This window comes from Homo sapiens, chromosome 9 (genome assembly GCF_000001405.40).
Source record: "Homo sapiens chromosome 9, GRCh38.p14 Primary Assembly".
Classification (NCBI taxonomy): Eukaryota; Metazoa; Chordata; class Mammalia; order Primates; family Hominidae; genus Homo; species Homo sapiens.
In genome coordinates, this window is record NC_000009.12 from 134,828,929 (window position 1) to 134,845,162 (window position 16,234).

Genomic DNA, 16,234 nt, shown 5'->3' on the forward strand with positions numbered 1-16,234 from the left:
CATCACACACACAGATGCGTACCACACACCATACCCTTCACACAGACATACCCCCCACACCATGCACGCGCACACACACACGCACACAGTCTGGTGCCGCAGCAGCCAGGCAAGGCTGTGAGGATGGGATGAGGATGCCCCACCCCTCGCCTGCAGTAAATGCTGGCTTTTATTACCATTCCCTTGGTCCATCATTCATTCATTCATTCGTTCATTCCCTCCCTCAGTGAGCGTTTCCAGCAGTGACTGAGCACCAGGCGCTGGCCTGGGGCCTAACATGCAAAACGAGAGGCAGAGCGCACCCTTCCTGGGCAGCAGCAGGGGCTGGAGGGCTGGGGCCAGGCTCCTCACATGGCCTCCAGTCTCTCCGAGGGCTGGGGCCAGGCTCCTCACACGGCCTCCAGTCTCCCCGAGGGCTGGGGCCAGGCTCATCCTCACGCGGCCTCCGGTCTCCCCGAGGGCCCAGGTCAGGCTCCTCACGCAGCCTCCGGTCTCCCTGAGGGCTGGGGCCAGGCTCATCCTCACGCGGCCTCCGGTCTCCCCGAGGGCCCAGGCCGGGCTCCTCACGCAGCCTCCAGTCTCCCCGAGGGCTGGGGCCAGGCTCCTCCTCACGCAGCCTCCGGTCTCCCCGAGGGCCCAGGCCGGGCTCCTCACGTGGCCTCCCTAAGGGCCGGGGCCAGGCTCATCCTCACGCGGCCTCCAGTCTCCCCGAGGGCCCCGGCCAGGCTCATCCTCACATGGCCTTCAGTCTCCCCAAGGGCTGGGGCCCGGCTCCTCACGTGGCCTCTAGTCTCCCTCAAGGCCCAGGCCAGGCTCATCCCCCCAAGGACCTGGGCCGGGCTCATTCTCCTGTGACCTCCAGTCTCCCCACAAGGGCCGGGGCCCTCAGGCTGCACTGAAGGCGCTCGGTGGGTCCTCCCTGCAGCCCCCCCGGCGTGAGGATGCAGGCGCGGGGGCCGGGAAAGCCTGGGGCCTTGCTCTGGAGGCCGGAGAAGTAACCCTTTTGTTCTGTTTCTCTCCCTCCCCACCTCCCCGCTGCATGTTTAGGCCAGAATCACTTCTTGGCCCAAAGAAAACCCGGGCTCCTGGTTCAGTGAATTCAAGCGTGGGAAACTGGTAAGGTGGCCTCTGGCGTCTTTGCGGTTGTCACTTTAAACCCGCCCATCTCGTATCTTACAGAGTAAAATGGCCCGCTGGCCCAAAGAGCAGCCTTCCACCTGGTATAGTCAGTACAAGCGGGGGTCCCTGGTAAGTGGCCACCTCGGCCCGGCCACCTCGGCACTGCCTGCTTGCGGCACGGCTGGCTCGCGGCTCTGCATGGCACCCATCGCTGCCATGTGTGCCACACCGCTCTTGCCAAACCGCTCCACATCACGTGACAGCAAGACTCAGCTAGGTGTGGAGTCCTCTCCCCAGCCCCCGCCACCCTGACAAGAGTGTGTTTCTGCCTGGAGTAGGCAGATGGTTTTCCGTTTCTGTGTAGGGCGCGCAGAGCTGGGTGTGGGCCCCAGCCTGAGCTGATCCTCTGCCCACAGACGGTGCAGCCCCAGGCACCTGAGCACTGAGGTCAGACGCTCCAGAAGCAGGAGCGCTTTCACTGTGTCTGATGGCAGGGCAGAGGACACAGATCCCAGACCACTTAAGCCATTCAGAGCTCCTTCTAGGACCTGCACCACGGATCCCCTCTCCCCAGCTGCTCAGGGCTGAGGGCTGTCTCTCTGCCCACCGGGCTGCAGATTCCCAGTTACACTGCACACCACTGTACGAGTCACGTTTTCACTTTTGGGGATCGAGTCTTACAGAATCCATCCCTGAAAGGAAACGACATTGGCCTCCCAGGAAAGAACCACATAGGAGGTTCTTCTGGCCGGTGTAGTGCCCAAGAGCCAGTTTGGACACATTGATGTGAGGACAGCGGCTGCTTCTGCCGCGTGGAGTGCCCCTAGGAACCCCACCGGAGTTTGATTTGGGCCCTCTCCTGGAATGAAGAGCAGAGTTCTGTCTTTTCTCCCAGCAAGTTAAAGGACCAAGGTTCCAGAACACAAGACGGGTTCCGGGTGTCATTTATGGCCCAGATTCTCCTTTCCCTCCCTTCTTGGGATCCAGTGGCCCCACTCCCAGGTGGTCCTCAAAGGAGGGCCTTGCTCTCAGAAGGCAGCCCGTGGGTTCTGCGGCTTGTAGCCTGACCACTTGCCATGGGTTGCTGCACCCTGGCACCAGCCCCAGCCTCCCTGGGTGGACACAGAGCACTGGCCCTGAGCCGCCTTTGCCCTGTCTGCACCTCTGAAGCCCCTCGTCTCATAACCTGAAGGCATTCACAGCTGATTATTCATCTCTCGTGCCCTCATTGTTGTTGGTTTGAAATCATATACCAGCTCCTTTGCAGACACTCCGAGGGTCTGTGCTCACCGTGGCTGTGTTTCTGGAGGCTTCCCGTTTTGTGGTTTGCCGTGGACTTGCAGTCCTCTCCTCCTTTCCTCTCCTGCTTTTCCTTTTCCCCGCCTCCTCTGTGCTGTGTTCCAAAAAGAGCTGCTGGCATACAGAAGGACCTGAAACACCCGGGGACAGGGAGGGCCCGGGACCAGGGCTGCTTGGCCCGGAGGGACAGAGCGTAGGGGATGCTGATGTGTGGGATCAGGCAAGGAAGGGGCCCTGGGGGTGAAGCTGCTGGGGGCCGAGGTGGCAGGGTCCATTCTGCAGTCTTGCGGGTAGTTACCGCCTGCGCTTGGCACTGCCCTCTCCCCGCAATGACAGCTCTCAGCCTCCAAAAAGAGCCTCTCACAGCATCCTCCAAAATGGGAAAAGCAGAAAGAGCCTATTTTCCTCGCTTGGAGGAAATGGCTGTGAAACCTCATTTGCAGCCTTCAGCCCGAGTAGCCCATTTCCACCTCTCGTCCTGTTCCACAGAGAGTTAATGAAGGTTGGGGTGAAGGGACGACCCAGGGAACACATCAGCTTACTTTAGGATCTTTCCACGGCCTTATTTCTAGCTCTGTGAATATCATACGTGGACAAGAGGTAGATGGGGGCCTCTCAAAGATACCCAGATTTTTCAGCCAGGTGCAGGGGCTCATGCTTATAATCCCAGCACTTTGGGAGGCTCAGGCGGGCAGATTGCTTGAGCCCAGGAGTTTGAGACCAGCCTGGGCAACATACCAAGACTCCATCTCTATTAAAAAACAAAATGCAAAAATGGGCTGGGCAGGTTGGCTCACACCTGTAATCCCAGCACTTTGGGAGGCTGAGGCGGATGGATCACCTGAGGTCAGGAGTTTAAGACCAGCCTGGCCAACGTGGCAAAACCCCATCTCTACTAAAAATACAAAAATTAGCTGGGCATAGTGGTGTGCACCTGTAATTCCAGCTACTCGGGAGGCTGAGGCAGGAGAATCTCTTGAACCCAGGAGGCAGAGGTTGCAGTGAGCTGAGATCGCGCCACTGCACTCCATCCTGGGGGACAGGGTGAGACTCCGTCTCCAAAAAAAAAGAAAGAAAAAACCAGAAATGGGAATTTTATCTGGGCAGGGCTACCCACACTGCACCATACTGAGAGAATACTGCAGAGAATCCCTCCCACCAGGAGAGCAGGGCCTCACTGTGGGACCCTGGGGTTCCAATGCAGGGCAGCGTGCCCCATGCCCCGGGCCCCCCTGCTGCCCCATGGGCACTGGGGGCTTCAGGTCCTTCTGTGTCCGGTGCTGCCCACCGCCGCTCCCTGTGGTGCACACTCTTCCTCGAGTCAGTCACGTTCCCTCCCAGAAGGAGCGCCGGACGGCCCAGCCTGTCGGTTGGTATTCACTTTTCCTCCTCAAGGTTTGCCCGTAAGGTTCTCGTGGCTGCGTCTGAAAGCGTGGAGTTCGCCGATAGCCCTGGGACTGCAGCGTGTTCCCTCGCCCCTGGGAAGGCCCAGGCCCCAGGCCAGCTGCTCACTTTGGGCTTTTTCTAGTGGCATCTGTTGAAAAAGTGGGTCCTGCAGTGTGTTCACCCTCTTCCCACTCCCGGTGCCCAAACACTCTTGGCAATACTGAAGTCAGTTCCCTTCCTCTGTTCAATGGGGCTCTTTCGGAGCAGGCCAGAGGCAGGGTCCAAAACACACCACCACGAGGCAGCGGTTGCATAGGAGTGGGCAGAGCAGGTCTCAGGTGCTGGCTTTAGCCTGCTTCATTCCCTGATGCTGCAAACAGGACAGGCTGCCCTGCCCAGCCAGGCCTTCCCTGCAGAGAGGGTCCTTCAAGGTCCTGCCTAGGCCAGGAGAGATGTGTGCTTCATTTCGGGGAGCTAAGATGCATCGATGTCCCCTGGAAGTGTCAGGTTTTTCAGAAACCTTGAGTTGGCAACAGAGATGCAAAAGTGAGATGCATCATGGCTCAGGATGCCCTGCACGGGCCTTGCACCTGGTGGAGCTGAGCAGCCCAGTCCTGGATACCCAGCTAGTGATGCTGGAGAGGCCACCTAAGAAGCTGCACATTGTCCTCTGATGCCTTCCCTGGATTTGTGCAGAGACTGGGAGGGCTTTCAGGGAGGATCAGTGTCATCAGAGTCCCGGGCTGACCTTTGGCACAGGCAGGGCAGGCAGATGGAGCCACTCCTGTCTCAGGAAGCCTGCTCACTGCCCTGAGGAGACGCTTCTGGGAAGGGGAGGAGTGGTCTTTCTTGAGTGGCCATGCCAGACATCATCCGGGACCCCTGTGCCTCCAGGAGGATCCCCGGTCACCCCAGCCATCTGCACAGCCCTGACCCTCCCTCAGGCTCGCCTCCCCTGAGCACCTCACTACAGCTGGCCCGCTCACTCCCCGAGGCCTCGTGCCCCGTGGCTCCAGCTGCTCACAGTCTCCCTGGCCAGGGCCTTGTACATCCTGGGCACCCAGCAGATGGTCGTTTGTTCACATAATCTTGTGAGCACCTTCCTTTGCTGGTGTTGGAGCATGATGATAGGGACAGGGGGCCAGAGCTGGAGTGGAGGGACATCGGGAGGGCTGGGATACAGATCAGGGTCCCTAAGCCAGCCCTAGAGGCTGGAGGTGGGGAGGAGCCTTCCCTAGGAGCAGTGGTCTAGGCTGTGACCCAAAGGACAGCAGTGGGGGCACCTCCTGCCAGGTGGGGAGTGTCCCAGGCCGAGGGAGGAGCCGTGCAGTGGCTCAGGGGCAGAAGGAGGACACCTGCTGTCCAGGGCTCAGGGAGAAGTGTGGTGCAGCTGGGAGGGGGCTCTAAGACCTCCTCCTCTCACCCCCAGGGAACCTAATGCCCCTCTCTGGCCCTGCACCCCTCTACTCAGGGGAAACCAGGGCTCGCCTGCTGCTCCAGGTGCCCCGACCCAGCGATCGGGTGCAGAGCTCTGCGTTTCAGGAATGAGAGGCAGGTCTTCATGCAAGCCATATTTTTGAGAATGGTTCTCTGTTCACTCAACACATACAAACCTGGCAGACCCAGATCACCATCTGGGATGGAGGCACCCAGGTGGCAGAAGGGGAGAAGAACTGTGGGTGGACGTGCAGGGAGAGCAGCTGCAGCTGGCACTGCAGTGGGTGCTGGCCCAGGAGACACTGGCTGCCGTTCACCATGCAGCAAAGCTTTATCAAGCGCACACTGGGCAGCCATGGGGCGGGTACCACGGCCAGTAACGAGCAAGAAGGATGCCATCCTGCCCTCTCTGAACTTATAGTCTGCTAGGGAAGACAGACACTGTGACAAACTAAGGTTGGGGAGGGCAGCCACAGAGTAGGTGCAGGAGCATCTATTCTGGGTAGGCTTCCTGGAGGAGGCAGCACAGGTGCCGAGCCCTGAAGGATAAGCATAAGCCAAGAGAAGTGGGTGGATTATTTAAGGCCCTGAAGGACATGAGGCATGGTTCCCTTTGTTCCTGGGAACACGCAAGAGAGCCCATGTGCGCTGGCCTCGGCCGGGTCTGTGGGTACAGTGCGTTTCCAGGTAGTTCCCCCGAGAAGACCACAGTGTGAGTGAAGCCCAGGGCAGTGCGGACGTGGGGCTTTGTTGCTGTGTGTGTCCCCACCCTGCTGAGCCCCAACACCCCTGTCCCCCCAGCTCTCCTATGTGGACGCCGAGGGCAACCCTGTGGGTGTGGTACAGATGACCTTCCTGCGGCTGCTGAGCGCCTCTGCCCACCAGAACGTCACCTACCACTGCTACCAGTCAGTGGCCTGGCAGGACGCAGCCACGGGCAGCTACGACAAGGCCCTCCGCTTCCTGGGCTCCAACGACGAGGAGATGTCCTATGACAACAACCCCTACATCCGCGCCCTGGTGGACGGCTGTGCTGTGAGTATCCCGCGCCGCGCCCAGCACCCCTGCTCACGCCTCCGTGGGGCTCGCTCCTCACTCAGCACGGGTTTACCTGTCCCCAAGATGCCTGCCAGAGGGCAGTGAGGGCCCCGGACCAGACTCTCGCCCCAGGCAGCCCCACAGTTGCAGGGAGACTAGGAATCCCAGGCCTATGCAGCTGGAGCTCCGGGAACTTGGGAGAGTTCTGTGGGTTAGGATGGGAAATCTGAGACCTGGCCGGAAAAGCCAGGGGCGTGGGTCCCTCGCCCCATCCAGGGCTGTGGCGTGGAGTGAGGAATGGAGGACCCGTTGTGGTTCCAGTTTGGAGCTGGGAGCCTCCCTCTCCTTGGACAGGGCTCTTCTGGGAGTGGCCAGAACTAAGCTGGGCCTGTTCCCGAGAGCACGGCCGTCTGGAAACACTGCAGACAGTTGCCAGCTCTCCGGACAGCCCGGCCCATGGGCCCTCTCCATGTGGGGAGAGCTGTTCTGGTCCCAGACAAGGGAATGGAGGCCGGAGCGGCGGGAGGCTTGCTGAGACCTCACGGGCAGTCAGGGCTGGTATTGGCGCTCATACCCATGGGCCTTCCCACATGCACGCCTTTCCCCTCCCTACTCAGTGAGCTGGGCTCACCTCCGCTAAGGTCCCCTTGAGACTGCCAGGGCCATCGCACAGGTCTGGGATGTGCCCGCGTGTCCTGGAGGTGTTTAGGGTGCAGCTGTGCCCCAAGAGCCCAGGCCTGCGGGAGCCTCAGACATGTCCCCCTCGTGTGGCCTTTTAGAGGCTGGAGGTGGGAATCGCTGAGAATTCCAGCCTGTGGGTCTTCCTGTCACTGACATTGGAGCCTGTTCTCTCCACCACTTATTCTTGAGAGACCTGCGGAAAGCAGCCCTTAGCGCCTCGCTCCTTTAGTGTTTGTAGAAAGGCACGCCTGAGGCCGGGTAAACGGGAAGCGGTTTACTCCGCTCCCAGCTCTGCAGGCTGTCCAGGAATCGTTGTGTGGTGCCAGCATCTGCGTCCAGTGATGGCCCCAGGCTGCTTCCAGTCTTGGGAAGGTGAAGGGGCCAGTGTGTGGAATGCACAGGAGAGAGGAAGCGAGGGGGTGCCAGGCCCTTTTTAACAATCAGCTCTCATGGGAACTAGTAGAGTGAGAACTCACTCATTACCCCGAGGGCAGCACCAAGCCCCGTGACCCAGACGCCTCCCACCAGGCCCACCTCCAACACTGGGACCACATTTCAACCTGAGATTTGGAAGGGATGAAGGTCCAAGCCATGGCACCGGCCCAGGCCAGCTCCTGAGGGGAACGGGGCCGGCGTTAGGGCCGGCCCTGCAGGGTGCCCTCTTCTGAGCAACACGGATGGGTCCTCAGTGTGAGGCCTGGGCAGGCAGGAAAGCCAGAGGGTGGTGCCGACTGAGAGTGCAAGGCCTGTCTGTAGCCCTGGGAGCAGAGTGGACCTGGGTTCCAATCCCGCCTCCCCCTGCCCAGCATCGCTGCGGAGCACCTGGCCCTCACCCATAGGACGCTCAGCTCCTTTTCTCTGCTGCCCAAGGGCTGCACTGAGGGTTAAAGCTGTGTCTCCCAGGGCCATCCCGCGGCCAGGCCGTGCTCAGCGGGGGCCGCCCTCACCAGGAGTGCTCACCTCTCCTCCCGGCTGCTACTGCCTTCTGCGATTGGTTGGGGTCAGTACTTCGGATCTGACTGTGGAATATGCAGAACTCATCCCTGTGTAAGGTTGATGGATCCAGATCCCTGGAAAGAGGCATTTAAAAATGCCAGGGACCTTACCCGTCCTCCCCAAATGAGTATAACATAGCACCTGCCTCACAGGGCTTTCTGGGGAGCATGTCAAACCATGCCTTTAGAGCTCGGAATCGTGTCTGACCCACTGCAAGCCCTGGATGAGCAGCCAGTTCCTGTGAATATTTTTAGATAACATGGACCACAAATGTAAGGCAGTAAACATGGAGGTGAAGAGAAATCAGGAACCCTGTAAAGGCGAGGCAGGACCTGGAGGGACAGCCTCCTGAGTTTGGCTTTGAGCTTCCTGGCTTCCATGGCAAAAAGGGAAACTAGCTGGCCCAGTGGGTATTGTCTGGTAAAGGGAGAGGAACAGCTTTCCAGAGAGGGGAATGTTCCCTGGAAGACAATGCTAGAAAGATGGATCCCACGAAGGACCCTTGGAGGTTAAAGGGCAGGCCAGACCCCTGCTCCCTAATCTGGCTAAGAGAGGCTTCTGCTGCTTTTAAGACCTTCCTGGAAGATCCAACTTCTTCCATCCCAGTTCCTCTTGAAGCTCCTGCCCCTACTCATTCCATCAGCAAAGCCCACTTCTGCGAGGTCCCAGAAGTCTTCGGCAATGCTTTCTGACTCAGAACCTGACTTCCTGGCTCCACCTGCATCCTGGGATAGGGTCAAGCTGGGATCATTTAAATTCCACAAGCAGAGAGGGCTCTTGCTCAGCCCAGTGTCTCCCGGTGATGAGGGTGTGCTGTTGGCATCTGGGGAAGTGTGGCCATTGGTTTGCAAGACATTCCACTTTGCCAGTCTCGGGTGTGCCAAACGCCTCCAGAAACACTCCCCACGTCCGAATGCGAACCACCAATACAAGTGTTCCCTTCTTTCTACATACGCAAAACCTGAGGCCCAGAGAGTTACGGCGACTCGCCCAAGGTCTCCAGGTGTGACAGAGCTGAGGCTCCTAATTCCCACTGCAGCATTCTTCTCACCATAGCCCCTTCCTGGCATAGCTGCACCTTGAATACCTCAGTTGACAGTGATCTCACTACCTCCTGAGACAGCCCAGGCCATGGCTGCAGAGTCTCAGGATGAGGAAGCTCTTCCGAGAACTGGGCTCAAGTCTACTTGTACTATCCGCCCATCGCCTCCTGGGTCTGGTCCCGTCAGCCATGCAGAGGGAACCGGGTTCAAGAGCAGTTTCCCAGCCCAAGCCTTCTGACATCAAGGCCCGACGGCTCTCTGATGGTGGACAGCAGGCTGTTTGGCATTCTCGGCCTCCACCCACTAGATGCCAGTAGGAGCCCCCTACCGAGTGACGGCAACCCAGAATGTCTCCAGACACATCTCCCAGGGGCAAAATCTCCCCCATGGAGAAGCACCCTTCTACACACAGAACTAAGGTGTGAAGGGAGCGCAGAGGGTTCACCTGCTGCAAGGGCAAAGAGGACCTGCTCCTTCCTGTCTCCCATGGAACCCAAAGAAGCTGGCACTTCTGGGGTGAGATCAGGACCCTCAAAGCCGAGAACCAAGTGCAGCTGCCGTCCAGACCGCGCCACCTTCTCAGGCAGTCAGCAGCGTGGGTCTGGTTAGCCGCCCAGTGCTGCAAGTGCCACCCCAAAAGGAGACCCTGGCTCACTCTCTCGCCCCCTTCCCCATGGCAGGCGTTCCTGAGTTCCACAACTGTCCTTGGAAGTGTCTCTGCGTGCAGAGGAGGGATTGGGATCACGGGGATACCCAGACTGCACTCTGGGCAGGGAGAGGAGAAGCAGCCCCCTCCCCAGGGCTGTTCTACTTCTGGAAAGCAAAGATTCTGACTTTGAAAAGATGGAGAGAGAATGGCCCAAAACTGCCTAACCCCAGATGGCAGGGGCAGGCTCTGCGGCCAAGCTGGACAGGTGGTTTGGGTGGAAAGGTGGGCAGTGGCAGCAGCGTGGAGCTGGGGTGCGGGGCGGCCATGGGGGTGGCATGCAGGGACGCTGGCCCGGACTCTCAGGTGCCCTGCTGACCCCAGTCCCTGACAAGCCCAACCACAATTTGAAAAGTCACAACCGTCTCATTTAATTACGGAGGCTGCTGCAGGAGGCCCTGATGCCCCGAACTCGGGCCAGCGGCAAAAGCCCTGCCTCAGCCCCCGGAGGTCTGCATGATTCATATTGTAATAACGGCCGAAGAAATTGGAATTCCAACGCGGGCATCGTTTGGCTGGGGCGCCTGATTGACGGGGCCGCTGAGCGGGCCCAGTGGAGAGGCACAAATCACCTGCAAGAGGGCCCAGGCACCCCGCCGCATAAATCCTGGTGTTTGTGCAGCTTTCGGCGCCTCTGGGGGGCCGTTCTGGCCTGTAATGGTTATTTATACCCCTGGAATAACGGGGTAACAGAGCGGCTCGCAGCGGCCTACTTTAAATACGCCCCTCTCTAAGCACTCTGATAATTGGAGCAGAGGGGTCCCATAAATCCCATGAAATCACCCGACAGCTCAGCAAATGCTGCCCGTCCCTCTGGGGAGAGACTGGTGCCATCGCTGAGAAGGGCTGTGACCGACGCCACTGCTGAGATGAACTGCTTGCCCAGCCTCCCAGGGGTGGATGAGAAAGGCCGGGCAGCGCCCTGCTGGCTTGCTGACCTGTCGCCGAGCTCACTTGGCTCCCCAGGACAGCGCCACCTTGCAGTGGCCCAGTGAAGCCAGGCCCAACCATCTCACTGCACTCCCTGGGTGGGACTGGGCCAGGGAGCAGAGGCCGGAGGAGAGGCAGGCAGGGTGGTCTCTGGCTCCTCGCCGGTGGGGAGGGTGAGGAGGTTGGTACCCTCAGGGTTCACCCCTGGAGGGTGTGGATGGCCACCTCTCATTGAATATCCTGTGTCCAGCCCCGCTGCCCACCTATCCTTCCCAGCCACCGCAGAGCTGCAACTGGCCCCTGCCCTCCGTTCCACAGGAGAGCTGTGGCCACCCCCAGGCGGGCTTGTGGGACAGCAGCATCCCAGCTGTGTTCTGCAGGGCTGAGCTGGCCACAGGGTGCCGTCTGCCCCACACTCGGCATTCTGTGGAACTGTGTGTTTTGCTGTCAAGTCCGGGGGTGCCCCATGGCGAGGTCCTTTAGGACAGCGTTTCTCAAAGGCCAGTCATGACCACGCCTATCAGAATTGTCTGAGACACCCATTTTTTAAAATGCAGATTCCGAGTCCCACCCCAGCCAGACGGAGTCAGCCTCTCTGGGCAGGGGTCAGAGCTGTAGGGGGTTAACAAGCTCCCTGAGAACTCGCGTTCTCTCTGAAGTTCCAATCCCAACTTGAAAATCATGCCAGGCTGAGCCAGCTGCAGTAACAGAAAGGTGTTCCTATCAAGGCAGGGTTGTGAGAAGGGCAGGGTCAGGGGAGAAGTGGACATTAGGAGGTGAAGTTTGGGACTCTCATGGATAATAGCAGGAACGCATGCAGGGAGGTGAGCTTCATTCCTTCTCACAGCGCCTCTGTGATGTGAGCATGCCCATTTTCCAGCTGAGGAAACTGAGTCACAGAAAGCGTATCGGTTATCCATTGCTTGTAATCAACTAGCCCCCCAAATTTAGCAGCTTAAAACCACAGATGTTCGTTACGTCACCCCATGTCCGAGGGTCAGAAGCCTGGGAGAGGTGCAGCTGGCTGGCTCTAGCTCAGGGTCTGTCTTAGGTCCATTCGCTGCCACGACAAATCTCGCCAGCTGCGTGGCTCATAAGCAACAGAAATTTGTCGCCCACAGTTCTGGAGGCTGGAAGTCTGTGAGCAGGTTGCTGGCAAGGCAGGCTCTGGTGAGCTCCCCTCTGGGCTGCAGATAGCAGCTTCTCACTACACCCTCACAGGGTGGAGTCTCTCGGGTGCCTCTTTTATAGGGGCACTAATACCACTCATGGGGTTCCACCCTCAGGACCTCCTCAACTCCCATCGAACGGCCCCACCTCCTAATACCATCTTTGGGAACGGGAACATTAAGATCATAGTCAGGGAGAATAAGGCCCTTCAAGGCCACGCCCTCCCCATAGGTCAGGGAGCAGAATACCGGGAGAGCTGGAGCTGCTGTCTGCTATCCGAATCTCCGGCCTGGGAGTCTGCGCTGGGCCCTCTGCAGGGCTGCATCCTGGGGTCACTGCCTCCCATCCGGGAGGGAACCCTGGCTGGCCCCTACTTGTTTATCTGATCATTTCTTTTGGGGATGGGGCAGTGGAAGGAGATCCTTCCCAGGCCCAGATCCAGCTGCGACTGTAAATCCAGTCTGGGTCTGAGGTAGCAAAAGCCATCTGCCCAGGATGCGTTTGCAGGCTCCTGGTTTGCGGGAAAGGTGCGGCCTCCAGGGCCCTTGTCTTGGGGGAAGTTGACGGGACAGCAGGGCCAGCTCAGCCTCAGTTATAAAGAACACTGGGAGTTATATTTGGGTGGCTTTGGGGAGGGACCAAAGAATCTCACACCTGCGCTGCCTGTGTTCTGGGAGGGAGGCGGCCTCTCCTAGGCTTCCATCCCACATCCCAGCGCCCAGGGTTGTGCTGTTTTGAGCAAGGGATGGGTGCTGACTCATCCTGCAGGCCAGGTTCATTGCACTACCCCTGCCCTCTGTGCCTCAGTTTACCTAAGACTCCTCTAGACCAGATGGTGTGGAAGGTCCCCACCCCTTCCCATACTTGTGGAGGTGAAGACCCAGCCCACCGAGTGCCTAAGGCAGTGTGTGGCAGGTGGTCGTAGGGGGGTCTTACTTGGCTCAAGGCTCTGCCGGTGCCGCCTCGGACTCCTTCCTTTTCGAACCTGGAGCCCCCGTTTGATTTTCCAGTGTGCCCTGCTTGTTCTGTAGCTGGCCCTGGGTCCTGGGGAGGCTGCCTGGAAGTGAATACCTGGGGCATCACAAGGAGTCTGGACTGGGCACGGTGGGAAGGCTGATCAGCTTCAATCCTGTGTGTGCCTCAGCCACCCCTGAAGCCTTGGGAGGGTCCTGTCGCCTCGCTGATGCCCACACCACCCCACCTCCGACCTGTGCAGGGGGACTCTTGGGACATCCACCGGGGTTAAATGCATGCTCTGATCAGCCATATTTCCTCCAACACTTGCCCGGGCAAGCGCAGCCCTGGGTAGGAGACAGGACACCAGCCTGGGTTTTGGAGCCAGACAGATTGTGGGGGGTGATTGGTAAACCCCAAGACCCCCAACTGTTCTTAACCACCGGCCATCTGTCTCCCTCTTCCCCAGACCAAGAAAGGCTACCAGAAGACGGTTCTGGAGATCGACACCCCCAAAGTGGAGCAGGTGCCCATCGTGGACATCATGTTCAATGACTTCGGTGAAGCGTCACAGAAATTTGGATTTGAAGTGGGGCCGGCTTGCTTCATGGGCTAGGAGCCGCCGAGCCCGGGCTCCCGAGAGCAACCTCGTGACCTCAGCATGCCATTCGTTCGTGAGTGTCCCGTGCACGTCCTGACCCTGGACAGTGAAGGCTTCTCCCTCCCCTCCCACCTGACTTCATCTACGCCTCGGCACCACGGGGTGTGGGACCCCAGCCCGGAGAGAACAGAGGGAAGGAGCCGCGCCCCCACCTGGAGCTGAATCACATGACCTAGCTGCACCCCAGCGCCTGGGCCCGCCCCACGCTCTGTCCACACCCACGCGCCCCGGGAGCGGGGCCATGCCTCCAGCCCCCCAGCTCGCCCGACCCATCCTGTTCGTGAATAGGTCTCAGGGGTTGGGGGAGGGACTGCCAGATTTGGACACTATATTTTTTTCTAAATTCAACTTGAAGATGTGTATTTCCCCTGACCTTCAAAAAATGTTCCAAGGTAAGCCTCGTAAAGGTCATCCCACCATCACCAAAGCCTCCGTTTTTAACAACCTCCAACACGATCCATTTAGAGGCCAAATGTCATTCTGCAGGTGCCTTCCCGATGGATTAAAGGTGCTTATGTTTTTGTGAGTTTTAAGTAAATATTTGTATTGTATTGTTATAAATGTTAAGTGTGCCTGGCTTTCAATCATGCACGGAAACCCAGTCTCAGTCCCACGGACAGAATGGGCGAGGCATGGATTCTGGGTTGCAGTACCGTTCTGATTAGAAATAGGAAGTCTCCCCACCCCCGCCCTGGCCAAGAACGTGCAATAAATTGGAAGTTTGCCCCGGGGCAGCAAGAATTTATGCTGCCATTGAAAAGCAGGTACCAGTGCCCCTTTTCAGACAGTTTTTGATTCGCTCTAGACTTTTTTTTTTTTTAATAGGGAAAAAATTTGATAATTTTCTTTTTTCTACATGCACTTAAGACTAAAACACAGGTTTGGATTAATTTTATTTGCTTCCTTTTTCCGCTTTTCTTCCCGCAGAGCCTGATGGGAGAATGTCCAGGGCAGGGAAACCACATTTTTTGTAGGTGATAACTCAATGAAAATTGGTGCTTATTTTTTACACTTCTCTCTTGTGGCTCTCTTGTGGTGCTATCTATCTGTTTTAAGGTCTCCTTGAAGGCGCACTGGGGACCCTGGCCATGCCTCGTTCTCCCTGCTTTCTTTATCCTGTTATTGCCTCCACAGTCTGTTGCCAAGGACTCTAAGATCAATGCACGTCACTTTCCTTTCCACTGGGCAGGATAGCCAAGCACACTCCCTCCTGCGCTCTCCCGCCCCGGTGCGTCCACTCCCGAGGGCTGTTATGAGGACTGGGTTGTGCCTACTTGATTTGAAAACACACACAAGCAATAAAAAGCCTCTTCCTGCATTGTCTGTGGTGTGACCATAGCAGATTATATTTGGTTCCTGAATGTTTGTGGTGCTAATTTCTGTGTTTGTTCCAAGCCGTTCAGTCATGCCATGCGCTGCCTCGGTAGATGGAGTAATGTACAATGAACTCCATGAGTCTCTCCAGGGCTGCCTGCAGCACGTCTTTTCCAAGTAGCCTATTTGGATTCCCATCTCAAATGTCCTGGATGCGAGCGTCAGCGGCTCCAGAGCTCGGGGCGGGTGAGGTCCCCTTTGGGGAACCCTTTCCTGGCCATCGAGGTCGGGGGGCTGCCGTCTGTGGGCAGGAGGACCCGAGGGGCAGCCAGGAAAGGCGATCTCTTCACTGTGAAAAGTTGCCCGGGTGCAGCGCCTTTTCCTTCTACCATGGGAAATGCAGGCTGGGCCCTTGGGGTGAGCCTGCGGGGCTCTGGTGCTGTCCCCGACCCCCACCACCACCAGAATGCAGTTCCAGCTTAGGAAGCCACAAACAAGCCACCCAGGAGGAACAAAACACCGCCAGCGTGGATTTTCCAAATTTCCCTGGAAAGTAAGTCTCGCTCTTGCCAAAGAAAAGTCTGGCTTGGAGAGTCTCTGGAGCCCAGGATGCCAGCATGTGCCAATGACTGTCACCTTCATCTCTTCAAAAGAAAAGCCATAGCCGAGGACTGTCCCGCGACCCCCGTGGACTGCGTCTAGGTCATGTGATTCTGTTTTCATTTCTCATCCCATCCAATTTGTCCTTTTCTCCTGTCATTTTCTTCCTCTGTGGTCCCTTCAAAGTTGTTATAATTTGTACTGAACTTCAAAATGTGTCCCGTTCTCCCCAGACCACTCTAGCCACAGTATATTGCAATAAAATTACTTCTTATATTTGCAGAAATTCTTTTGGTGTAATTTTATTTTTTCCTCTCAATATATATAATTGGACAAACGCTGGCAAAAAGAAAAAAATGGTAAGCAAAAAACCCAAGATAAAGTTTCGAGGACATCAGGCCTTTTGAAATACAATGTCAAATGACACATTGTACGGTTTCAAAAAATCCGCTAGACATGTCATAAGTTTTAACTGTAATGCCCAGGAAAGGATATCTTAAAATATTCTAAACTTGTGTAACAAAGGAATAATTAACTGTAATAGTTTTTCAATAAATCGAGTTGGGTGTTTCCACCGTAAACAGATGTGAGTGACTCTCTTCTTAAGTGTGGCCAGGCCCCTCCCAGACAGGACTGCACACAGTCCCAGGACGCTAGGAGCTCTGGAGATAACCACACTGGCCACCCAGAGAAAGGAAGGGATGGCCCCGGCTGTCCTTAGGTGGAGCTTGTCCCTCAGGAGTGGCCAAGGCTGGCATGGACAGCTTTGTGCCCTTGGGAGGATGTTAGAACGTAACCGGGCACTAGCCCGAGAAGTGAGTTTCAGCCACTGCTGGGTGTCCACACCACCGTGTACTGTCCTCACTCTTCACTCCTGGCAGTCAGCACCCTGCGAGAATG

General features: G+C 57.5%; 1 protein-coding gene and 1 long non-coding RNA gene across 4 annotated transcripts in view, besides 1 other annotated feature; one reads left to right on the plus strand and one right to left on the minus strand.

Moving 5' to 3' along the window:
* COL5A1 (collagen type V alpha 1 chain) overlaps positions 1 to 15,915 on the plus strand; it is a 203,041-nt gene extending 187,126 nt beyond the window's left edge. The window contains exons 64-66 of one of the 3 annotated variants that reach the window (NM_000093.5): positions 1,048 to 1,116; positions 6,043 to 6,276; positions 13,229 to 15,915. In NM_000093.5, coding sequence (NP_000084.3) covers positions 1,048 to 1,116; positions 6,043 to 6,276; positions 13,229 to 13,375 — 450 coding nt within the window. In that variant the 3' untranslated portion in view covers positions 13,376 to 15,915. Of the gene's footprint in view, positions 1 to 1,047; positions 1,117 to 1,179; positions 1,249 to 3,813; positions 6,020 to 6,042; positions 6,277 to 13,228 lie in introns of those variants that run through there. The other 2 variants (NM_001278074.1, XM_017014266.3) reach the window with 2 other exon arrangements.
* The window catches only part of LOC101448202 (uncharacterized), a 53,204-nt gene that overhangs the window by 9,514 nt on the left and 27,456 nt on the right, over positions 1 to 16,234 (minus strand). The window lies entirely within an intron of this gene.
* Positions 13,211 to 14,045: an enhancer, noted in NCBI's record as "H3K4me1 hESC enhancer chr9:137733985-137734819 (GRCh37/hg19 assembly coordinates)". NCBI's record gives its function as "activates a minimal SCP1, AML or CMV promoter by ChIP-STARR-seq in naive H9 embryonic stem cells {active_cell/tissue: H9 hESC(naive)}" and the evidence as "EXISTENCE:reporter gene assay evidence [ECO:0000049][PMID:30033119]".